The sequence below is a fragment of the Homo sapiens genome, chromosome 9, assembly GCF_000001405.40.
Source record: "Homo sapiens chromosome 9, GRCh38.p14 Primary Assembly".
In the NCBI taxonomy this organism is placed as follows: Eukaryota; Metazoa; Chordata; class Mammalia; order Primates; family Hominidae; genus Homo; species Homo sapiens.
This window is the reverse complement of record NC_000009.12, coordinates 100630891-100657903: the sequence shown is the minus strand read 5'-3', so window position 1 is coordinate 100657903 and position 27013 is coordinate 100630891. Positions and strand designations below refer to the sequence as shown.

Below are 27013 nucleotides of genomic sequence, written 5' to 3'. Positions count from 1 at the left end.
GTCTTCCAAAGTCTTAACTCATTTCAGCACTAACTCAAAAGTCTACAGTCCAAAGTATCATCTGAGACAAGGCAAGTCCCTTCCACCTATGAGCCTACAAAATCAAAAGCAAGCTAGTTACTTCCTTGATACAATGAAAATTGGGTAAATACAGCCTTTCCAAATGGGAGGAAACTGGCCAAAATAAACAGGTTACAGGGCCCATGCAAGTCCAAAACCCAGCAGGGCAGTCAAATTTTAAAGCTCCAAAATGATCTCCTTTGACTCCAGGTCTCACATCTAGGTGACACTGATGCAAGAGGTGGATTCTCATAGTCTTGTTCAGGTCTGCCCCTGTGACTTTGCAGGGTACAGCCTCCCTCTCAGCTGCTTTCATGGGCTGGTATTGAGTGTCTGTGGCTTTTCCAGGCACCTGGTGCAAGCTGTTGGTAGATCTACCATTCTAGGGTCTGGAGTATGGTGGTCCTCCTCTCACGGCTCCACTAGGCAGTGCCCCAGTAGGGACTCTGTGTAAGGGCTCCAACCCCACATTTTGCTTCTGCACTGCCCTAGCAGAGGTTCTCCATGAGGGCCCTGCCCCTGCAGCAAACTTCTGCCTGGGCATCCAGGCATTTCCATACATCTTCTGAAATCTAGGTGGAGATTCCCAAACCTCAATTCTTGATTTCTGTGTACCCACAGGCTCAAAACCACATGGAAGCTGCCAATGTTTGGGGCTTCCACCCTCTGAAGCCACAGCCCAAGCTCTACGTTGGCCCCTTTCAGCCACAGCTGGAGTGGCTGGGATGCAGGGCACCAAGTCCCTAGGCTGTACACAGCATGGAGACCCTGGGCACAGCCCACAGAACCATTTTTTCCTCCTGGGCCTCTGGGCCTGTGATGGGATGGGCTGCTGTGGAGCTCTCTGACATGGCCTGGAGACATTTTCCCACACGGTCCTTGGGGAATAACATTAGGCTCCTTGCTACTTATGCAAATTTCTGCAGCTAGCTTGAATTTCTCCTCAAAAAATGGGTTTTTCTTTTCTACTGCATCATCAGGCTACAAATGTTCTGAACTTTTATGCTTTGTTTCTCTTTTAAAATTGAATGCTTTTAACAGCACCCAAGTCACCTTTTGAATGCTTTACTGCTTAGAAATTTCTTCTACCAGATACCCTAAATCATCAATCTCAAGTTCAAAGTTCCACAAATCTCTAGGGGAGGGGCAAAACACCACCAGTCTCTCTACTAAAACATAACAAGAGTCACCTTTGCTCCAGTTCCCAACAAGTTCCTCATTCACATCTGAGACCACCTCAGCCTGGATCTTATTTTTCATATTACTATCAGCATTTTTGTCAAAGCCACTCAACAAGTCTCTAGGAGGTTCCAAACTTTTCCACATTTTCTTGTCTTCTTCTGAGCCCTCCAAACTGTTCCAACCCCTGCATGTTACCCAGTTCCAAAGTTGCGTCCATATTTTCAGGTGTCTTTTCAGCAATGCCCCACTCCACTGATACCAATTTACTTTATTAGTCCATTTTCATGCTGCTGATAAAGACATACCTGAAACTGGGAACAAAAAAAGACTCAATTGGATTTACAGTTCCACATGGCTGGGGAGGCCTCCCAATCATGGTGGGAGGAAAAAGGCAGTTCTTGCATGGGGGCAGCAAGAGAAAAAAGGAAGAAGCAAGTGCAGAAACCCCTGAAAAACCCATCAGATCTCATAAGACTTATTCACTATCACCACAATAGCATGGGAAAGGCCAGCTCCCATGATTCAATTACCTCCCTCTAGGTCCTTCCCACAGCATGTGGGAATTCTGGAAGATACAATTCAAATTGAGATTTGGGTGGGGACACAGCCAAACCATATCAGTTACTATAGTGAAATCAATTAACGTATCTATCGGCAAGCCTAAAAGGAGGCTATATTAACATTATAGACAAGGAAAGTGATGTTTAGAGAGTTTTAACCCACCCAAGGTCCAACAGCTGGTCAGTGTGGGGCAACAATAGTCAGAACAGGCAGTCTGCCTCATGGAGCCCATGCTTAATCACAGGGCTTTGCAGCTGCCATATTATCTCTGAAAGCCTGGGTTTCTGAGAAGTTCCTTGAATATCACAGTTAGCTGATCATCTGTCTCCCATTTTTTTAGTTGCTAATAAAAAGTCAGAATCAAACTGAGGGAAAACTCCAGTTAGCACATGGAGGATGGCTCAGCTCAGGTTAGTCAGAGACAGACCTATACCTCTGCTCCTTTCCTTAACTGCCATGTGAGCATAGTCAGCAATCTTACCTCTGAGAGCCCCAGTTTCCTTATCTAGAAAACAGTACAATAATATCTGCTTAGGGTCATTGTCAGGAAAAAAATCAGATTAATTAATGTATGTTGTCTTGTCAGTAGACTGATGGTGCTGTGTTTGATGAAAAGACACCAGCCTTAAATAGTAAGGATAAGAATGTTCATAAAAAATGTTCTGGTGTTGTGCCTGCACACCCACACTGGAAAGCCATGTAAAATATGCAACTGTGAGTTGTGGCCAAAGTTTGAAAATCACTGCTCTAATCCTTTCTCCCTCCCAACCCTTATATCTGAGATCTTTGGGGTCCCTTTCCACAATTTGCTGTTCCTCTCACAATGAGAAATAGAATCACCTTTTCCTCAGTATTTGAACTTCCTAGCACAGCCATTAGTTTAGGGTATAGAGTGAATGTTTGTGTCCCTCCAAAAACTCATAGGTTGAACTCCTAACCCTCAGTGTGATGGTATTAGGAGGTGGGGCCTTCAGGAAGTAATGAGGTCATGAGGGCAGAATTAGGATTAGTGCCCATATAAAAGGAACCCCAGGAAGCTCTCTTGCCCATTCTGTTGTGTCAGGACACAGAAAGAACATGAGTGTCTAAAAACCAGAAAGTAAGCCCTCGCCCAACACCGAATCTAGGACTTCCCAGCCTCCAGGAACACAAGAAATAAATTTCTATTGTTTGTAAGCCACCCAGTCTAAGATAGTTTGTTATAGCAGTATGAACTAAGACAAGAATATATTCATCACAATAAAGGTCTTCGTTATGGGCCCTTTCTGGTTTGAGAAAAAGAAGCAGTAATTTTTCAACTTCAAAGTGTCCTAAATGAAGTGGCAGAAATTTAAAGTCAGATTCTCAAATGCTGCCCACAGGCATCTCTGAACATAGAAGAAATCCCAACACAGTTAGCAAACCATGTGGTTTGCTAACAACTCTGAGTATCCAAAAAAATTTCCTAAATGAGTGTGGCTGATGATTGGGACCAATTTCCTGGTCTTGTGTCTTTGTTTGCCTTCCTTGGTGTATATTCCATTCTCCTAAACCCTTTTCACTTATTCCTGTACTTCCTCAAATCCTTCTATTCTTCCTTCTAGCCAAATAACGAATTGGGATGCAAAATGCGAATTTATCATTATTCATTGTGTATTTTAATGACAATTACACAAAACCAACATCCTTCAGTCAATTTGAATTAGCCCAACTCTTCAGTAATTGAGTGGTCGTCAAAACAGTAGTTTTGGTAACAATTGTTTCCACTCTCTGTCTGCCATTAATCCATCATCAGTGGCATTAAGCTGGCATTGAATTTCCCAAGTTCAAGTATGCATCTACATGTAGTGACTTATGGGGCTGTCCTTTGATTTGCTAATCATGCAGACTGATAGTAGAACTGCCATACATTCAGAAAGCCTCCTTATGGAAGCAAATGGATCTATTAACAACCTGAAACACTGATGCAGTCATTCAGAGCCAATAGCGCCATTATGTACACAAAACAAGATGAATGGTACAGCATATGAAGCCAAGCAGAAACGCTTCCAATACATGGTGAAAAAGATACCTGATTTACTGCAAATGCAAGGGACAATTGTCATTCTATGATATATAGTTACTTTTCTTCACTCATGTTAGCTGAGGTTTTTTGTTTTTTTTTTTTTTTTACTTTTACCATAATAATTATTATGGACAGATTCATTTGGGGTAAGAAATGGTCTTTCAGAAAACCACTGGGGGATTGCAGCAGAGCCCAAGGTATGGGAGCAGATGTGCGTTATAAAGCAATATGCAGCATAATGAGAAAAGCATTCTTCCCTATCCTATTAATTGTTGGCACCACCTAATAATCAAGAACTGCTGACCCCTCCCACCCTCCGACTCACAGATATTTGTGTATTGTAATGCATGATGGCCCAAACACAAGCTCAACTCTCTGTAATGTTAAGAGCCAGCATTTCAGTAATGCTAATCTAAACTCTACCTTTTCTCTCTGCATTGCCTATAACACAGTTTGTCAATAATACATATGTACCTTCTAATTGGTGAATGGTTGGGTAAATGACATAATGCAATTGACTACTGTGCAGAAATTTTAACTGATAATTATGAAGCTGAATTTAAAATACGGAAAATGCTACAGATATGAGGTTAAATAATAAAAGCAGAATGCAAAAATGTCAGAATACTAAGATTACAGTTATATAAAAATGCACTTGGATATAGAGAAGAGAAGAAAAAGGCAAGCTGCTGTATTGATGAGGATGACAAGCAATTTCTTTTGTCTTTTGAAAATATCCTTTAATGTTCCTAGGTTATTCTTATAATAAAAGTTATTTTTAAGATTAAGCCCACCTCTTATGAAAAAGTTAGTTACCCCTTACCATAAAATCCACACAATAAAACCTGCATGTGATAAATGCTGAAACATTTTTTTTTTCAGATTCAAAAATAGTGCTGGAATCTGCCAAGGAATTGGCTCACATTATTCAATGTCAGGCACATTTACACTCATATGTATTAGTAATCCCTTTGGTTGACTTTTCCTTGTCGTTGTCATGGCAACCGTTTCCACTGCCATTAGTACCTCTAGGGCCCAGCCTTGTTCACATATTTTTAGGCTGTTTCTCTTCTAACATAGCAATTAATACTTATGGCATATCTGTATCTGAAGCCCTGGTGGCGGTGATCCATTGTTTCCCTTGGAACTGCTGAGTGTTTGGTTTGCTTCCTTTCTGCTTTGCAGGTACTTCTGTTTCTTTTTGGCGGTTCTTTTCATTAAATATTACAAGCCTCTTTACAGTTTCTAATTATCAGGTTGGTGCAAAAGTAATTGTGGTTTTTGCCATTGAAAGTAATGGCAAGCCGGGTGTGGTGGCTCCTGCCTGTAATCCAAGCACTTTGGGAGGCGGAGGCGGGCGGATCACCTGAGGTCAGGAGTTCGAGACCAGACTGGCCAACATGGTGAAACCCCATCTCTACTAAAAATATAAAAAATTAGCTGGGCGTGGTGGCGCATGCCTGTAGTCCTAGATACTCCAGAGGCTGAGCATGAGAATCGCTTGAACCTGGGAGGTGGAGGTTGCAATGAGCCAAGATCATGTCACTGCACTCCAGCCTGGGCGACAGAGCAAGACTCTGTCTCCAAAAAAAAAAAAAGAAAGGAAAGAAAGAAAGTAATGGTAATGGCAAAAACTGCAATTACTTTTGCACCAACCTAATACATACTATTTGCATTATTGAAAGTTTTTTTTACACATACTTTATGTTTCCCTATCAAATGACCTTCTCTCCATTATCAATAAAATAGCACATTTTCATAAAGCTAACTTTAGATCACTACCACAGAAGAGAAGCAAAATACTTTAGGAAAAAAGCAAAACTTTGGAGTGGTTCTAGACTAATAATCACATGATTATATAGTCTGAATTGGCATACCTCCATTCACAAGAAGTTCACAACAGCAGAAGATATCCCCTTGCATTTTCTGACAAATGGAGTCATCTAATAGTCCTTTCTAATGAAGATATTGCCACTAACGGCTGCCTTTTTTCACTTGTCAAATTAATTTTTTAATAATAGTAATTAGTGCCCAGTACGGTGAGGTTGCTGTGAGATGGGCTTATTCTTACACTGCTGAATAGAGAATCAGTGTCCATCAACCTTTAGTTAAGCAATGATTCCTACAAAAGCTTTATCAATGTTTACTCCCTTTGGCTCTGCAATTCTTGCAGGAATCTTTTCTAAGGAAAAAGTCTAAAATGTAGAAAAAATTATGTATATTATTGACTGAAAAGTAATTTATAATTTTTAAAAATGAGAGCCATCTAAACATCTAACAACAGAAAAAAATACACGATACACCTACGAGGTAAAATAATATGCAAATAACACATCTATAATGGCACAGCAAGTACAAATGATATAATGATAATAATTGTAAAATGTTAATTTAAAGAAACAGATGTGGTTATTATGTGATTATAACTGTGCAAAAAGAATAAATTAAACCATAAGCCCCAAAAGAACAGGAACTGTGTTTGTCTTATCTACCTTGTAAGAGAGAAAAAAATAATTTTCTCCTCTACCCTTTCTGGGTTATTAGTTAGAATGGACTTATGTAACAAAAACAGGTTAACAAGAGGGGGTAAAAACAGTTTATTAACATGTATATTTCATATATACATGGGAAATACCCAGGAGATGGGTAATTCTCCAAGAAGTGGCTTTGAATTCCAGCTCATAGGGTATATTTAACAGAAAACAGTAAATTTTTAGAAAAGTGCCAAGACAAAGTAAAAGAACTTAGAGTCTCTAGGGGTGGTAAATTTGGGGAAGGCAAATAAATGGCAGATAAAGGCTAGTTAGTAAAGTTTGTTCTATAGATTCCTCTGACCATCTCCAGGATATTAAACATCAAAAGTTGTTTTCAGTGACTAAACTTTGTCCTTCCTGGTAGAGAGGGGAAGACAACTTTGTCTTTATAAGTCTATGTACTGCTTCTAGGAAAATAGGGAGAAAGCAGAGAGTTTTTCTCATACCTGCTTATCCTCTATTGCCTTCAGCTCAAAATAATCCTCGTGCCAGTGTGGCACATTTTGGGATGGCATATACTGATCTCTTATAACCTTGTATCTATATAATCTACCAAAATATCTATACATTTTTGTTGTATCAAATGAAATGAATGGATGGACAGATAAATATGTGTAGCAAAAAGAATGTAAGGTAATACATCAAATTTTTTAAATAGTTATTTTCAGAGATGATAATTTTGATGTTTTCTAAATTGTTCTTTACTTATGTTTCCATCTTACTAACTTTTAAAGACTTTTTGGAGGAATTAAATTAATCCTAAGCTTCTTACTCTCCTGTGGAGACAATACATATCTACACCCTCTATAGAACTCTTCAAATAATCGGGGTCAGTTCCAGTGATCAAACAGGTTTCATATGGCATGCATTCTTAATCCCAATTCCATACAGGGCTTTATCTACTTCATTCTGTAGAACCAAATGCTTTTAAAGTACATGGAAAAGCCACATAAACTCTAGAATTCTGTATACATATAAGAATTCTGTACAATATAATTAAGTTTATTATTTTATAAATTGTCTTCCCAATATATGAATCAGATCACTTCCACCTTCAAAAATCTTCCTGCCTAATGAATAAAATTCAACTCCTCAGTCTCATCCAAGGCCTTCCAAAACCTTGTTCCAAAGATTATCTCCAATTTCCTGTCCCATCATCGTATTACCCAAAGCCTCATCAGATTACTTTCCATTTACTCTGTATACCATGCAATGCCTTGCCTTCCTACCCATGCTCACACTGTACCCTTTGCTTGAAAGGCTGTTTTTCCCTTCCCTCTTGACAAAATCCTTCAACACCAGCTCAAATACCACCTTCTCAAGGCCATGAATATATGGTCAGTGATGAAAATCAGTCTGTAGAATGCTTAAAATTAAAGCCCTTTTCCATTTCCAAATACTTAGGAATTTAATGTCTGCTATCAAATCAATCAAAAATGAAAGTGTCTCCTATTCATTAGCCTTCTAATTAGAATCTACCGTGAGCAAGTCTTATTAATGATAGACAGCCTTTTTACCTGGCAGAGATTCACTCAACTCCATTGTGACAGAGGTGTGTGCACGTGCACATGCTCGCATGCATGCATGTGTAACATGGGAGTTTAGGTTCAGAGTGAATGTAGCCATCACTCTGCTGCAGCATGTGTGCATGTGTAGGGGATGAGGAAGAGCATTTCATACTAACTAAAATTTTCTGGGATTATGGAACCATTCCCTAACTTTTTTTTAAGAGCTCCAAAATTGAAGGTTGTAGTAAGAGAGAAGAGAGTAGTAATTTTCTAGTCTGATAGATGGGCCAAGAATAGCATGCAAAGGAAAAAAAAATTAATTTCAAAGGACATTAGTTTCCTTCTTTTAAAGCATACTTGGAAAATCCACAAAAAGATGACATTTTTAAATGTTTCCCTTTTATAATGGCTGCCTGATACTAGTCTTTACCCTGCCAATGAGCACACGAGGGAGATAAAACCACCAACCCAGAAAAACACCAACTGTCAGAAGAGACTGACACATGGCAACCCCAGTTAATTCAGACACAGAAACGCCTTCACTGAAGCACCATGCTCTTGTCTCTCCTTCCTCCTGTGGGTGACACCTCAATGCTTCCAAACCATTTTCTCTTGCCATGCAATTGTCTTTCTGCAGTGTTTTAGAATATCTAGAATATTTTCATTATTATATGTGTTCAAATTTTCATACCCATCAATAAAAGCCATAACACCCCCTCTCCATTTGTACAAAAATTCACTCGAACCAATTATTTTCCAATAAAAGCAGTGTGCACATTTCCTCATTTTGTATTTCCCTAATTCCCTCAATAAGCTGTAAGAGAATTATACCTATAGTTCATCTCCCAATGCCTTTTCTCACTGATTCATTGGAGGACTGCTAGTTCATGCTATTTCAAGGCTCCAGGTAATTGATTGATGCTTATTGGTTTTACTCCATCTCTCTGGAAGACTGAACAAAAAGAAATGTGGTTAAATCACATCCGATTCTGGATATTAGCCCTTTGTCAAATGGGTAGATTGTAAAAATTTTCTCCCATTGTGTATGTTGCCTGTTCACTCTGATGGTAGTTTCTTTTGCTGTGCAGAAGCTCTTTAGTTTAATTAGATCCCATATGTCTATTTTGGCTTTTGTTGCCATTGCTTTTGGTGTTTTGGACATGAAGTCCTTGCCCATGCCTATGCCCTGAATGGTATTGCCTAGGTTTTCTTCTAGGGTTTTTATGGTTTTAGGTCTAACATTTAAGTCTTTAATCCATCTTGAATTGATTTTTGTATAAGGTGTAAGGAAGGGATACAGTTTCAGCTTTCTACTTATGGCTAGCCAGTTTTTCCAGCACCGTTTATTAAATACGGAATCCTTTCCCCATTGCTTGTTTTTGTCAGGTTTGTCAAAGATCAGATGGTTGTAGATGCGTGGTATTATTTCCAAGGGCTCTGTTCTGTTCCATTGGTCTATATATCTGTTTTGGTACCACTACCATGCTGTTTTGGTTACTGTAGCCTTGTAGTATAGTTTGAAGTCAGGTAGCGTGATGCCTCCAGCTTTGTTCTTTTGGCTTAGGATTGTCTTGGCGATGTAGGCTCTTTTTTGGTTCCATAAGAACTTTAAAGTAGTTTTTTCCAATTCTGTGAAGAAAGTCATTGGTAGCTTGATGGGGATGGCATTGAATCTATAAATTACCGTGGGCAGTATGGCCATTTTCACAATATTGATTCTTCCTATCCATGAGCATGGAATGTTCTTCCTTTTTTTTGTGTCCTCCTTTATTTCGCTGAGCAGTGGTTTGTAGTTCTCCTTGAGGAGATCCCTCACGTCCCTTGTAAGTTGGATTCCTAGGTATTTTATTCTCTTTGAAGCAATTGTGAATGCGAGTTCACTCATGATTTGACTCTCTGTTTGTCTGTTATTGGTGTATAGGAATGCTTGTGATTTTTGCACATTGATTTTGTCTCCTGAGACTTTGCTGAAGTTGCTTATCAGCTTCAGGAGATTTTGGGCTGAGACAATGGGGTTTTCTAAATATACAATCATGTCATCTGCAAACAGGGACAATTTGACTTCCTCTTTCCCTAATTGAATATCCTTTATTTCTTTCTCTTGGCTGATTGCCCCGGCCAGAACTTCCAACACTATGTCGAATAGGAGTGGTGAGAGAGGGCATCCCTGTCTTGTGCCAGTTTTCAAAGGGAATGATTCCAATTTTTGCCCATTCAGTATGATATTGGCTGTGGGTTTGTCATAAATAGCTCTTATTATTTTGAGATATGTCCCATCAATACCTAGTTTATTGAGAGTTTTTAGCATGAAGTGCTGTTGAATTTTGTCAAAGGCCTTTTCTGCATCTATTGAGATAATCATGTGGTTTTTGTCTTTGGTTCTGTTTATATGATGGATTATGTTTATTGATTTGTGTATGTTGAACCAGCCTTGCATCCCAGGGATGAATCCTACTTGATCATGATGCATAAGCTTTTTGACGTGCTGCTGGATTTGGTTTGCCAGTATTTTATTGAGGATTTTTGCATCGATGTTCTTCAGGGATATTGGTCTAAATTCTCTTTTTTTGTTGTTGTGTCTCTGCCAGACTTTGGTATCAGGATGATGTTGGCCTCATAAAATGAATTAGGGAGGATTCCCTCTTTTTCTATTGATTGGAATAGTTTCAGAAGGAATGGTATCAGCTCCTCTTTGTACCTCGGGTATAATTCGGCTGTGAATCCATCTGGTCCTGGACTTTTTTTGGTTGGTAGGCTAATAATTATTGCCTCAATTTCAGAACCTGTTATTGGTCTATTCAGGGATTCAACTTCTTCCTGGTTTAGTCTTGGGAGGGTGTATGTGTCCAGGAATTTATCCATTTCTTCTAGATTTTCTAGTTTATTTGCATAGAGGTGTTTACAGTATTCTCTGATGGTAATTTGTATTTCTGTGGGATCGGTGGTGATATCCCCTTTATCATTTTTTATTGCGTCTATTTGATTCTTCTCTCTTTTCTTCTTTATTAGTTTGCTAGTGGTCTATCAATTTTGTTGATCTTTTCAAAAAACCAGCTCCTGGATTCACTGCTTTTTTGAAGGGTTTTTTGTGTCTCTATCTCCTTCAGTTCTGCTCTGATCTTAGTTATTTCTTGCCTTCTGCTAGCTTTTGAATGTGTTTGCTCTTGCTTCTCTAGTTCTTTTAATTGTGATGTTAGGGTGTCAATTTTAGATCTCTCCTGCTTTCTCTTGTGGGCATTTAGTGCTATACATTTCCCTCTACACATGATTTGCAAGAAAAAAATCAAACAAACCCATTAAAAAGTGGGTGAAGGATATGAACAGACACTTCTCAAAAGACATTTATGCAGCCAAAAGACATATGAAAAAATGCTCATCATCACTGGGCATCAGAGAAATGTAAATTAAAGCCACAATGAGATACCATCTCACACCAGTTAGAATGGCGATCATTAAAAAGTCAGGAAACAACAGGTGCTGGAGAGGATGTGGAGAAATAGGAACACTTTTACACTGTTGGTGGGACTGTAAACTAGTTCAACCATTGGGGAAGACAGTGTGGCAATTCCTCAAGGATCTAGAACTAGAAACACCATTTGACCCAGCCATCCCATTACTGGGCATATACCCAAAGGATTATATATCATGCTGCTGTAAAGACACATGCACACGTATGTTCATTGCAGCACTATTCACAATAGCAAAGACTTGGAACCAACCCAAATGTCCACCAATGATAGACTGGATTAAGAAAACGTGGCACATATATACCATGGAATACTATGCAGCCTTAAAAAAGGATGAGTTCATGTCCTTTGTAGGGACATGGATGAAGCTGGAAACCATCATTCTCAGCAAACTATCGCAAGGGCAGAAAACCAAACACCACATGTTCTCACTCATAGGTGGGAATTCAACAATGAGAACACATGGACACAGAGTGGGGAACATCACACACTGGGGCCTGTGAGGGGTGGGGGGAGAGGGGAGGGATAGCATTAGGAGATATACCTAATGTAAATGACGAGTTAATGGGTGCAGCACACCAACATGGCACATGTATACATATGTAACAAACCTGCACGTTGTGCACATGTACCCTAGAACTTAAAGTAAAATTAAAAAAAATAAAATCACAACTTAGAGGAAATTCTGAGACAGAGAAAAAGCTTCTTGAGTGTATAAATCAAATATTACTATGGTTTCTATAAAGGTTATAGAACACCAGTCATCATAGTTCTTTACAAAAGAGTTAACTCTATTTTTAAAGCCCCAACTTCGTTGGGAGAAGTGATCTTGAATGAAAGACCTCTTGATCCTTTTCCTTCACAATAATATTATGGTTGACAACATTAAAGCAGCAGAACTGGCTAACTGCTTGCCCAATATCCATTCTTCCTTCATCCTACCTAACAAGTTCTTCCCATGCTACTAGAGATGGCCATGAAACCTGGCCAATAAGATGTAAGTGAGGCGACTGGGAGGAGCTTCTGAGAATGCTTTTCAAAAAAGCAGCAGACGCAGCTGGCATGCTCCTTTTACCCTCTGCCATTTGCTCTTTGTCTTTGCCCATTATTCTGACTGAAAGGAAAACTCAAAGCCTAGAAATACAGCCACTGTCTTGTGACTGTAAGGAAGCCACACACTAAACAGCAAAGGAGGAAGACAGAAGGCACCTTGAGTCAGTGCTCCAGCCATGAATGGCCTCTTCTAGACTTATTGTTACAGGAGAAAATTAAACCCTTTCCTTGTTTAAACTACTTTAATAGGGGTTTTCATTATTTACAGCCAAACTCAAAGCTAACTGACACAGTTACATTCTGCCCTCCCTCCCATTACAACAGATGTGGTGTCCCAACTCCTACCGAATGCCAGTTATTCCACTTGGAATCTGGATTTCCTCCTCCTTACCTTCCCAAGAAATTCCCTTCTCTCTCCTACATCTTCAGTTTCTCCCTCTCTACTTCACCATTACCATTAGCACAAGCATGCTTTAGTGACTACTGTCTTGAAAGAAAGAAACCAATACAGAGAGAGGGAGAGGAGAAGTGAGGGAAGGAGAAAGGAAAGGAGAAAGGGAGGGACAGAGGGAGCAAGGAAGGAAGGTAGAAAGGAAGGAAGAGAGGGAGGGAGGGAGGGATGTCTTGATCCTATATCTCCTTCTAGCTACCACTGCATTTCTTGAAGTTTTCCTGAAGTTGCTATTCCACCTCCTCAATTCCCATTCTCACCTTGAGCCACTTCTCAGCCTCCATTTAGACCACTCAAATGAGACCACTTGTGCCAAGTCACTCAAGATCTCCTTATGGCCAAATCCAAGCTCCTTTGTCAGCTTTTGCTTGACCGTCCAGCAGCACTGGCCATCAGCAGCAGATCACTCCCTGGTTCTTAAAACTGGCTATCTTTGGCTTCTGTGGCACCATGTACTCCTGGTTTTCCTCCTCTCTCACTGGCCCCTCCTTCTCCTTTGCTGGATGCTTCTCTGTTCAGCCTTCTAGGAACTCTCCAGGAATCAGTCTTGGGTCTTGTCATAGACAAAATAATGGCCCCTAGAGTTGTTCACCTCCTGATCCCCAAAACATGTAAATATTTTACTTTACATGGCAAAAGGGACTTTGTGGGTATAATTAAGGAGATGGGAAAATAACCCTGGATTATCCAGGTGGACCCAATGAAATCACAATCATCTTTATGATTGTGAGGGAAACAGGAGAGTCAGAGTCACAAAAAAGATGTGACAATGGAAACAGAGGTGAGAATTATGTACTTTAAATATGGAGGAAGGGGCCACAAGCCAATGAATGCAGGTAGCCTCAAAAAGTGAGAAGAAGGATACTGCCTTAGTGTGTCCAGATGAAGCCCAGCCCTGCCAACATCTTGATTTCGGCCCATTAAAACACATTTGGGACTTCTGACATCCAGAGCTATAAAATAATACATTTGTGTTGTCTTAAGCTACTAAATTTGTTACAGCAGCATTAGGACACTACTACAGGTCCCAATTTCTTCTTTTTTTTCTTTTTTTTCTTTTTTTGAGACAGAGTCTCACTCTGTTGCCCAAGATGGAGTGCAGTGGTGTGATCTCAGCTCACTGCAACCTCCACCTCCCAGGCTCAAGCGATTCTTCTGCCTCAGCCTCCCGAGTAGCTGGGAATAAAGGCATGCACCACCATGCCCGGCTAATTTTTGTGTTTTTAGTGGAGACAGGGTTTCACCATGTTGGCCAGGCTGGTCTCAAACTCCTGACCTCATGTGATCTGCCCACCTCAGCCTCCCAAAGTGCTGGGATTACAGGTGTGAGCCACCACTCCCGGCCTCCAATTCCTTCTTTATCTATACATTCTTCCTAAGGGACCTCACGATGTTCTATAGCTTTTTTAAAAAACTGTATTCTAAGACGACCAAACTGATCTCAGTAATTCTGACCTGTCCCCCAGGATTCCAGATTCATATATCCAAATTACTACTTATGAGCCAAAAAAAAAGTAGCAACCCCTTTACAAAATGCAGATTTACCTGAATCTATTTTTATTTGAATGTGTTGCCTTTTGAGTTCATCTACATCTTCCTATACTCCTTATGTGTGATAAGGCAGCATCTGATGAAAATGAGGGTCCAGAGCAGGCCACCATCCACTTCATTCATTCATTCTTTCATCCAAACATGGTTATTGACCTAACCTAGAATGTACCAGTTCCCATCCCAGTCCCAAAAATGGATAAGGCATGTTCCATCTTATGTGTTGAATAAATATCCTAAACTCCACACAGCCAAATGGGAACCCCTGATTTCACCACCTCATCCCACACACCAGCACCTCCTCACAAAAAAAAAAAAAAAAAAAAAAAAAAAAAAAAACACTTTGCTTCTTCCCCAGCCTTCTCCATCTCTGGAAACTGCACCATCAGCCAACCAGGTGCTCCTATCAAAAACCTAAGAACTTACTTGCATTCATTCCTTTTTTCCTCAGTCCACACATCCAGCCTATGTGCAAATCCTTTCAATTCTACCTTCAGAACACACCCCAAGTGCATTTGCATTTCTCCATCTCCATTGCTTCCTCTGCAGTCCAAGCTACCACCATTTCTCACATGGAATACTGCAACTAACTTTAAGAATCTATTTCCCACACAGCAGCTAGAAGTACATTTTTTTAAATGCAAATTAGGCCATGTCATGCCCATACTTAAAACCCATCAATGGCTTCCCATTGCACTTAGAATGAAAGTCAACCTCCTTATGCCAGCTTTCAGAGACTTTCCTGCATCCTCCCAACTCTCTATCCTTGTCTTGTACCTGGCTTGCCTTGCACCAGCTACACTGGCCTTTTGAACATGTCAGTCTCTATTTTGCATCAGGACATTTCCACTAACTTTCCTCTCCACCTAAATTGCTCTTCCCCTGATTTTCTTTCTCAACCTTTAGGTCTCATTTCAAATGTCACCATCTCAGGGAGGCTTTCTTGACCACTCTATATAAAATAGCTATCCAATTATTCCCCAAACTATCTCCCTTAATTCATTGTATAATATATATTCTTATTTGATATTTTTCCTAGTAGTTTATTCTGCTTCCCCCTAGAAGAATGTAAAAGTCATGACAGCAGGGGTCTTGTCTTCTTTACTGCTATATGCCCAGGTTTTTTTTTAATTTCCTGGCACATAGTAGGTAGTCAACAAGTATTTGCTGTACAAGCAAAATTTTTGCCCAGGACCTGTCATTACAGTTAGGAGCCACCTTCATCTAGTCATTGTTTCCAGATGTCTTCACTGTCACTACATGTAACAAGTACCACTATATTTTATTTCCCTGCTTGCTTTTTCTGTCACCTCTACTGGATGTGAAATTCTTAAAAACAGAGATTATAATACTAGTGCAGGGAGTGACTGGTACATTTCAGGTGGTCAGTCACCATAGTTGAATGAATAAATGAATGAATCAATCAGTTAATGACTCCATGAGTCAATGAATAAATGATGAATGAGTAAACGGGAACAGTCTCTTGCTTTGTCACTGTATCCTCACTGTATCCTCAGATGCTACCTCACTACACATGAGGGACACATAAAGATACAAACTAAGTTAACTGGTAACAAATTCAGACAAAAACAGGCTTTGTTAAGTCTGCATTCTGTAAGGGGGCTGCTTATATGACTCTACTTTTCCACTCTGGCCAGTCCAATAGTCAGGGCAGGGCCCCCTGTAGTAGATATCAATGTAGAATAACACCCTAAGGATTTTCTGCTTAGGAACACTATAAAGAGTATAAAAGGATTTGTGGGGAATTCTTAAACCTTCATTTTGTAATGAGAATGAGATACAGTTCACTAAATATACTAATATACTAAAAGTCATAAAATTTTAGAATGGATTCTGATAATAGTCTCCTTTCACTATGGAACTAATAATAAAATAATTGCATTAGCATATGTATAGCTAACATCATGGAGAATTTACTAGGTTCCAAAACTTTGCTAAGAGCTTTACATGAGGTGTGTTATATCATTATTCTCATTTTATAGATAACATAACTGAGTTTTAAAAAGACAAGTTCACATAGGTGTTACTTGGCGGATCCAGGATATAAACCTGTTGATCTGACTCTTGAGCCCACAAGCTTAACAAGTGCACTCGCCTGAATTAACCAGCAGGGCCAGGGACTGGCCAGACTTTTTCAAGTGGTTCTCTCTGGACCCTCTCCTGAATGGTTTAGTATATGTGGTGCCCATCCCAGCTGGCCTGTTCCCTGCTGGGATGTCTAGATGTCTTATGTTTATTCCAGGGCTCTTATTATGAGGACTTGAGTCTCTGCTTATTCAAAGAGCTGATTTTGTCATATCCTAAATCCCTACACATCTGGCTTTGCTTCCCTCTAATGGGTCCTGGGTAATGCTGCTTGACGTAGAGTTCCCTGGCTCTCCATGCTGGGCTCTCTTGGCCCCATTTTATCCGCTACTCTGTAGCTGAGCTCTGGCAGCAGGATAAGCTTATTTCAAAGACCCTGCAATAAGAAGAGTGCATATCCACTTTCAATGGAAAGTTAAAATGACTCCCTCATTGGAGAGAAATATACAGGGAAAAGCATTTCCTTTGAAACACCCTCTATTAATCCAACATAAAATATTTAATTACTTCACGCCCAATTTTGTGTAAGTTATTCTAGAATACTATAATAGGATATGGGTCTTTCTAATCACATTTGGTAGATTCTTAATTGAAACCCTACGGTAAACTAAATCATCAGGTACTTTCGTTTCTTAATCATTTCAACCCTGTAGCTCAGAACAAGAGCATAATCATACTTTTTCCCTCAGATAATACTCCCCTGGAACAGACAGTAATACATTTTTTTGCTTTGGCATTTGGCCATTTACCACAATGGAGGTGAGGATGACAGTGATAAAAGACTGAAATGTGCAGTTCTGCTAGCTTTTTTTCCTACGAAAAATTAAAAAGCACGTCCTCTATGTCATGTGCCTTTGCTTTGGGTTCACACAACTACTGGGATATTCAAAAGAACCACAGAGAATTATTGCTGAACTGGAAAGGGAAATTCACCTAGATAAGTCATAGCTATCAGTCATATTTTTAAACAGATATAAGCATATTTTTAAATGACAAATAAAATGGCATATGAATAAGGAATACGCTGAAAAGCTAGAAAAACATATCTACATTCAAACCACTACAACCTCCTGCCTCACTAAATGCAGAAGGTAAACTTCTAAAGAGAGGCCATGTCACTTTAAGAAAATTGAGGCCCTAGGCATACTAGAAACACAGCCAATCACAATTATCAAAAATAATTCATGTCTATGTTTCCTAGTGCACAAGACATTGCTTATACCCAAAAAGAAATATTAGGGCTCGGTGGTGTGGCAGCTTCTCACAGCTGTCAGAAACCCATTCCTTATCAGTCCAGGAGGAGTGTAATTAAAGACAATAGCCAGAGCAGCTGTATTGGAGAAACAAGTCATTTGTCTTCCCCCTCCCCCACCCCTTCTGTTCACATAGTTAATCTGAACATAGCATCAGCTCCATCAGCAAGGCTTCTTCAAAAGGCAGAATAATAGAAAACATCTATCTGTCTCCCATTGTGGATTATGAAGGTTAAAGAAATACTTGGTCTTATCTTGCTATTACATTATATAAAATGCATATAATTTAGGTCTAGAAGTTCAAACACTCCTGAGAATAAGGCAGGTTTTGAAGCACAAAAAAAAATAATCTTTAGGAACAGAGAGAATCTAGGGAAAAATGGCTTATGCTCAGTGGTGTTCTAGAAAATGTTCAACAACAGGCTCTCCAGAGGTAAAGCCCTGATTTGTAACATTTTTCCAATTTCTGTGGCATAAATACTCCTACCGTGGCTGATTGCAAGCTACACATGTGGCATCATTGAACACAGAGAATCTTAACAGCAGATTAGGTGAGAAGAGATGCACAGTAAGATGCCATTTCCACTACAGAGTATTTCCACTACACAGAAACAAGAGATGGAAATAATCTCAAGGACATAGTAGTGGAATGTGGTAAAAACAACCAGGAAGTAGTGAATTTTGAATATTTGTTACTTTTGTTTGTAATATAATTTATTGAAATGTTATGTAATTCAATTTTTAATAATGGCTATGTTCAATTACCACCTTGCAGAATTCCTGAAAACAATCATATCTCACAAGCCCATGCAAACTGGCTGCTGCCCACCACTCTCTATACTCTGGCTGCCCTGTTACTAGAATAAATAGCCCTCTTGTTATAACAGGTGAAAAAAATGCATAACAACAATATTCATTTTTATCAACAGTGGAACTCAATTACTTCTTTAACAATTTTCCCAAAACCTATATTTGCAGAATGATCTCCCTGAAGCTAGAAAGAGAGTAATTTAGGAATATCTTTATGCATTGTTACTAAAACAATGAAAACACAGGCTTTTTACATAATTGGTTGTGTTGCAAACGTACTGTATTTTGCAATCCTTTCTTCTTCATGTGCATGCAACTAGATGCCAATAGGAAATTTTGTCTGAAGCACTGAGATAATAAATTTCAAGTGAGGCACAAGGCTACACCACAAACTGGCAAAACGGGTGATTTTAAAAAACAGTTTTACATCTGGGAAGACGGAGTTGACATATTTTTTCCTATCTCTCCCACTAAGCACAACTAAAAACCCTGGAAATTATATCTAAAACAACCAAAAGATTCTGGAGAGAAGACAGGCCAGCTAGGGAATAACATGGGCGAGTCCGCTTCTTTCCTTTTTGCTGCATACATCCCAGACTAGCAGCTGGAGGAGTTGGCAACCCAGAAACACCAATGAGTGCAGACTAAAAAGGCCCCCAACAGCCTACATTTCTATCCAAAGGACCTTATCATGATGCAACTGTTCTGTATCTTGACTGGATTGATGTCCATTTCCTAGCTGTGAGATTGCACTATAGTTTTGTGAGAGGTTACCACTGGAGGGAAACTGGGTAAAGGGTAGAAGGGATGTATCTCTACTATTTCTTACAAATGCATGTGAATCTACAACAAACTCCAAATAAAAAGTTTAATTTAAAAACAACTGTGGGCGGGGGTCACTTCCAAGATGGCTGAATAGGAACAGCTCCAGTCTATAGTTCCCAGAGAGATCGAAACAGAACAGGTGATTTCTGTATTTCCAACTGAGGAAAATGGTTCATCTCATTAGGACCAGTTGGACAGTGGGTGCAGCCCATGGAGGGCAAGCCGAAGCAGGGTGGGGTGTCGCCTTACCTGGGAAGTGCAAGGGGTCAGGGAATTTCCCTTTCCTAGCCAAGGGAAGCCATGAGTGACTGTACCTGGAGAAACAGTACACTCCTGCCCAAACACCACACTTTTCCCACAGTCTTCGCAACCAGCAGACCACAGGATTCCCTCCCATGCCTGGTTCAGCAGGTCCCACACCCACGGAGCCTTGCTCGCTGCTAGCACAGCAGTCTGAGATTGACCTGGGATGCTGGAGTTTGGCAGGGGGAGGGGCATCCGCCATTGCTGAGGCTTGACTAGGCGGCTCTATGCTCACAGTGTAAACAAAGCAGCAGGGAAGCTCAAACTGGGTGGAGCCCGCCACAGCTCAGCAAGGCCTACTGCCTCTCTAGATTCCCCCTCTAGGGGCAGGGCATATCTGAACAAAAGGTAGCAGAGAGCTTCTGCAGACTTAAATGTCCCTGCCTGACAGCTCTGAAGAGAGCAGTGGTCTTCCCAGCATGGTGTTCGAGCTCCGATAACGGACAGACTGCCTCCTCAAGTGGTTCCCTGACCCCCGTGTAGCCTGACTGGGAGACACCTCCCAGTAGGGGCCAACAGACATCTCGTACAGGTGGGTACCCCTCTGGAACAAAGCTTCCAGAGGAAGGATCAGGCAGCAATATTTGCTGTTCTGCAGCCTCCTCTGGTGATACCCAGGAAAACAGGGTCTGGAGTGGACCTCCAGCAAACTCCAACAGACCTGCAGCTGAGGGGCCTGTCTGTTAAAAGGAAGACTAACAAACAGAAAGGAATAGTATCAACATCAACAAAAAGGACATCCACACCAAAACCCCATCCATAGGTCACCAACATCAAAGACCAAAGGTAGACAAAACCACAAAGATGGGGAGAAACTAGAGTAGAAAGGCTGAAAATTCCAAAAACCAGAACGCCTCTTCTCCTCCAAACAAACACAGCTCCTTGTCAGCAAGGGAACAAAACTGGATGAGGAATGAGTTTGACAAGTTGACAGAAGTAGGCTTCAGAAGGTCAGTAATAACAAACTTCTCCAAACTAAAGGAGTGTGTTCTAACCCATCGCATGGAAGCTAAAAACCTTGAAAAAAGGTTAGATGAATGGCTAACTAGAATAACCCATGTAGAGAAAAGCTTAAACGACCTTATGGAGCTAAAAACCATAGTACGAGAACTTTGTGAAGCATATACAAGCTTCAATAGCTGATTCGATCAAGCGGAAGAAAGGATGTCAGTGATTGAAGATCAAATTAATGAAATAAAGTGAAAAGGCAAGATTAGAGAAAAAAGAGTGAAAATAAATGAACAAAGCCTCCAAGAAATATGGGACTATGTGAAAAGACCAAATCTACATTTGATTGGTGTACCTGAAAGTGATGAGGAGAATGGAACCAAGTTAGAAAATACTTTTCAGGATATTATCCAGGAGAACTTCCCCAACCTAGCAAGGCAGGCCAACATTCAAATTCAGGAAATACAGAGAACACCACAAAGATACTCCTCAAGAAGAGCAACCCCAAGACACATAATTGTCAGATTCACCAAGGTTGAAATGAAGGAAAAAATGTTAAGGACAGCCAGAGAGAAAGGTTGGGCTACCCACAAAGGGAAGCCCATCAGACTAATAACAGATCTCTTGGCAGAAACCCTACAAGCCAGAAGACAGTGGGGGCCAACAGGCACATATACACCATGGAATACTATGCAGCCATAAAAAATGATGAGTTCATGTCCTTTGTAGGGACATGGATGAAACTGGAAATCATCATTCTCAGTAAACAATCTCAAGGACAAAAAACCAAACACCACATGTTCTCACTCGTAGGTGGCAATTGAACAATGAGAACACATGGACACAGGAAGGGGAATATCACACTCTGGGGACTGTTGTGGGGTGGGGGGAGAGGGGAGGGATAGCATTAGGAGATATACCTAATGCTAAATGACGAGTTAATGGGTGCAGCACACCAGCATGCCACATGTATACATATGTAACTAACCTGCACATTGTGCACATGTACCCTAAAACTTAAAGTATAATACTAATAAAATAAAAAAAAAACAGTCAATGTTCTTAAGGAAAAGAATTTTCAACGCAGAATTTCATATCCAGTCACACTAAGCTTCATAAGTGAAGGAGGAATAAAATCGTTTACAGACAAGCAAATGCTGAGAGATTTTGTCACCACCAGGCCTGCCTTACAAGAGCTCCTGAAGGAAGCACTAAACATGGAAAGGAACAACCAGTACCAGCCACTGCAAAAATATGCAAATTGTAAAGACCATTGACACTATGAAGAACCTGCATCAATTAATGGGTGAAATAACCAGCTAGCATCATAATGACAGGATCAAATTCACACATAACAATATTAACCTTAAATGTAAATGGGTTAAATGCCCCAATTAAAAGACACAGACTGGCAAATTAGACAGAGTCAAGACCCATGGGTGTGCTGTATTTAGGAGACCCATCTCACATGCGAAGACACACATAGGCTCAAAATAAAGGGATGGAGGAAGACCTACCAAAAATGAAAAGCAAAAAAAAGCAGGGGTTGCAAACCTGGTCACTGATAAAACAGACTTTAAACCAACAAAGATCAAAAGAGACAAAGAAGGGCATTACAAATGGTAAAGGGATCAGTGCAACAAGAAGAGCTAACTATTCTAAATATACATGCACCCAATACAGGAGCACCCAGATTCATAAAGCAAGTTCTTAGAGACCTACAAAGAGACTTAGACTCCCACACAATAATAATGGGAGACTTTAACACCCCACTGTCAGTATTAGATCAACAAGACAGAAAATTAACAAGGATATCCAAGACTTGAACTCAGCTCTGGACCAAGCCAACCTAATAGACATCTGTAGAACTCTCCACCCCAAATTAACAGAATATACATTCTTCTCAGCACCACATCGCACTTATTCCAAAACTGACCACATAATTGGAAGTAAAACACTCCTCAGCAAATGTAAAAGAACAGAAATCACAACAAACTGTCTCTCAGACCACAGGGCAATAAAATTAGAACTCAGGATTAAGAAACTCACTCAAAACCGCACAACTATCTGGAAACTGAACAACCTGCTCCTGAATGACTACTGGGTAAATCACAAAATGAAGGCAGAAATAAAGATGTCTTTGAAACCAATGAGAACAAAGACAGCCTACCAGAATCTCTGGGACACATTTAAAGCAGTATGTAGAGGGAAATTTATAGCACTTAATGCCCACAAGAGAAAGCAGGAAAGATCTAAAATCGACACCCTAACATCACAGTTAAAAGAACTAGCAAAGCAAGAGCAAACAAATTCAAAAGCTAGCAGAAGACAAGAAATGACTAAGATCAGAGGAGAACTGAAGGAGACAGAAACACAAAAACCCTTCAAAAAAATCAATGAATCCAGGAGCTGGTTTTTTGAAAAGATGAACAAAATTGATAGACCGCTAGCAAGACTAATAAAGAAGAAAAGAGAAGAATCAAATAGATGCAATAAAAAATGATAAAGGGGATATCACCACCGATCCCACAGAAATACAAACTACCATCAGAGAATGCTATAAACACTGCTATGCAAATAAACTAGAAAATCTAGAAGAAATGGATAAATTCCTCGACACATACACCCTCCCAAGACTAAACCAGGAAGAAGTTGAATCTCTGAATAGACCAATAACAGATTCTGAAATTGAGACAATAATTAATAGCCTACCAACCAAAAAAAAAGGTCCAGGACCAGACAGATTCACAGCCGAATTCTACCAGAGGTACAAAGAGGAGCTGGTACCATTCCTTCTGAAACTATTCCAATCAATAGAAAAAGAGGGAATCCTCCCTAACTCATTTTATGAGGCCAGCATCAGCCTGATACCAAAGCCTGGCAGAGACACAACAAAAAAAGAGAATTTGAAGCCAATAGTTCAAGACCAGCCTGGCAAACATGGTGAAACCCCATCTGTACTAAAAATACAAAATTAGCCAGGCATGGTGGCATGCACCTGTAACCACTGGTATTAGGGAGGCCGAGACAGAATTGCTTGGACCCAGGAGGCGGAGGTTGCAGTGCCACCTGAGACAAGATCGCATCACTGCACTCCAGCCTGGGCAACAGAGTGAGACAAAGAAAGAAGGGAAGGGAAGGGAAGGGGAGGAGGAAGGGAAAGGGGAAGGGAAGGCAAGGGAAGGGAAGGCAAGGGAAGGGAAGGGAAGGGAGGAAGGAGAGTAAGAGAGAAAGAGAAAAAGAGAGAGAGAGAGAGACAACTGTGCATGTTTCCTACTCCCTCAGCTACATCAGGATATGAAAGGGTTAGAAGTCACAGATTAGGAGATTTGGGAGAAAGCTGTTGGAATATAACAAGAGGCCTAACTCCTCTCCCAAGACGGTAAACTAGAGGATGTCTTCCCCATCCCCACAAATCAAAATAGACAGGCTTTAAGAAGACCACTTGGAAAGCTTGCTATTTGGCCTTTAGAGATGGGGACACATAGACTAACTTACACCTGAAAAATCTAGAATAAAAACAAGGTATTACCATACTATAGTAATTTTCTACTACCCCTTGTATTTGAGTACAAAATTTAAAAGTATGTTAAGATGCTTTAAAAAAAAAAAGTGGTGTAGAAAATTGTACTTTATTGTATCAGTGACAAGATCTTATATGCAGAAAGCATTCAAAAATATTTCCAGAAGCTAAACACAGCGGCTCACACTTGTAGTCCCAGTACTTTGGGAAGCCAAAGTAGAAGGATCACTTGAGGCCAGGAGTTTGAGACCAGCCTGGGCAACAAAGCAAGACTCCATCTCTACAAAATAAAAAATAAAAAAATTAGCCAGGCATAGTGGCATGTGACTATAGTCCCAGCTACTCAGAAGGATGAGGCAGGAGGATTGCTCGAGACCAGGAGTTGTAGGTTGCAGCGAGCTATGATCATGCCACTGCACTCCAGCCTGGGTGATGCAGTGAGACTCCATCTCTTTAAAAAAGAATTATATATATTTTTTGAAAGAACAAACCACTCTGGACCTTTTTAAAACTTCTTATTTGAAAGTTAACTGTATAAAAAGGGCATCTCCATCATTTACTCATTTAACAAATATTAATTAATATGCCAATGGACCTATCATAGTCTTCACCTATAAGGAACCTTAGAGTTCTATCTACCTGTATTGGTTACATCAAACAGTCAACATCTAAGTCATAATAATAATAGCTAACACTTATTAAGCAACCATTGGGTGCCAAGAATTTGACATACATTACTTCACTTAATCCTTCAACAATCCTATAAGGGAGATGCTGTTATTATCCACATTTTATAGACGAGAAAAGCTGAGGCTTATAGAGAGGTTGATAACCTTTCTGAGGCCACTCTGCTGGTAAACTATAGAGCCAGAATTAAAAATTATCTCATCTGATTCCAGAACTCACTCTTATCCTTATCATAGTCACACACAAATTTCAAAGCACACAGGCTCAGGCATGAAGCAGAGGTAACAACATAAAGCCAATAAGGAGAGGAACCAGACTGAGATCCAGAGTTCCTTATTCACTTGGACATAAAATAAGGGCTGGGGGTAAGGAACCTGCTGCAGAAACTGGCCTCAAGGAAGACACATCCAAGGTCTGGACTGAAGCAAGTTTTTATTCCAAGGTTCACAAAATAGGGAGTCTCAGGCTGCTTCTTCCCGTGGCCCCATCTGAACAGGCTCAGGAGCTGGAACAGTCCTGAGCTTTAGGAGTTCAGATGTAGGGAGTTGAGGGAGACAGAGTGAAACTCTGTCTCTGAACAACAACAACAACAAAAAATGAAAACAAAAGACAAGTTCAGAGGAAGACATGCTGTGTTGAAAGCATGAGAAGCTAAGGTGAAAGGGTTGAGGGTATGAGCTTCTGAATGGTACTTTTAAGTTGTTAAGTAAATAGATGATCAGTGCCAAAAAAAAAAAAAAATCAAGGATATTTCTGAACACTTGCTAGCAAATGCAACTTCTTGTAAATAAAAGGTCTTTGCAAAAATGCAGACTAAATGGGATGTTGTAAAATTCTTATATCTAAATAGAATATGTTATACAACCTTGAAAATCCCATTTTAACTGTTCTTGCAACAGTTTACCATCTATAAAAGTTCTACCCAGAACAATTAAGAGAAAAAACTGTACACATTCTTTAATAATGCTCTTGAGTATTATGGAAAAAATGTGATGTAATTATCAAACTATCAGATTATTGCCTGAGGCTGATTACTCTCAGAACACCAGACAAGACGTTAAGGTAGCCATGGCCAAGTGTCAATTGTTGTGAAAGCTATTCAGGGTCATTGTGTTTCATGGCTTCCACCTGACCCCTCCCCTCAGCAAGACAAGGAGATGAAGCAAGACAGAGGGAGGAAATAGCCCTACTGATAGCAGAGGAATGACATTGCCTTTATATATAAAGAAAACATATTATTAGGTCATGACTGACATTAAATAGGTAATTTACTCAAATGACAGTACCATTTCATTCTCTGTAATTTGATGTAGTTGTTTTTTAAATAGCACCCTGAACAGATATATGTTTCCTATTTACACTGAAAAACACAGCAAGTTCTCTTTCCACCAGTATGGCTCTTCTGAAGGATGAGGAATGAGAAGGTGAAGTCATTGGGAAACCACCCAGACCCCCAGCCTTAACAGCACTCTGCTTCCATCTGCCCTCTTTGCCTCTGTGAGCCCATTTTGCCCGACATCAGAGCTTTTACTGTTTTCCTTTCTATTTTAGAGTTACTATCACCTGGACTGTTTCTCCTGGAACCTTTCCCTGTCTCCCTGGTCCTCACCCTTCCCTTCAATGTGATATCTCAAAGTATGTACAAGGTGCATTTTTTTAGGGTGTTGCTGTTCATCACTATGAGAAAACAGGAGTTCACCAAAGTAACAAATACATATAAACTACAAACTGGTAAGACTCCCTTGGCTGGGCGCGGTCATTCACGCCTATAATCCTAGCACTCTGGGAGGCCAAGGCGGGTGGATCACAAGGTCAGGTGTTTGAGACCAGCCTAACCAACACAGTGAAACCCCCGTCACTACTAAAAATACAAAAATTGGGCATGGTAGTGCACGCCTGTAGTATCAGCTACTAAGGAGGCTGAGGCAGGAGAATCGCTTGAACCCAGGAGGCGGAGGTTGCAGTGAGCCAAGATCGTGCCACTGCACTCCAGCCTGGACGACAGAGCAAGACTCTCTCTCAAAAAAAAAAAAAAAAAAAAAAAACTCCATGAGGTCCCCTAGTAATTGTACTTTTGGTAGAGCACAGTTCTTGGTACAGAGAAGACTCAATATATGTTTGCAGAAAGAAAAAAAATGCACTACCATTTA

At 40.2% G+C, this 27013-nt stretch overlaps 1 annotated feature.

Moving 5' to 3' along the window:
- Nucleotides 24457-24708: a silencer, noted in NCBI's record as "fragment chr9:103395478-103395729 (GRCh37/hg19 assembly coordinates)". NCBI's record gives its function as "represses an EF-1alpha promoter that drives an FKBP-Casp9 reporter gene in an ReSE screen in K562 erythroleukemia cells {active_cell/tissue: K562}" and the evidence as "EXISTENCE:reporter gene assay evidence [ECO:0000049][PMID:32094911]".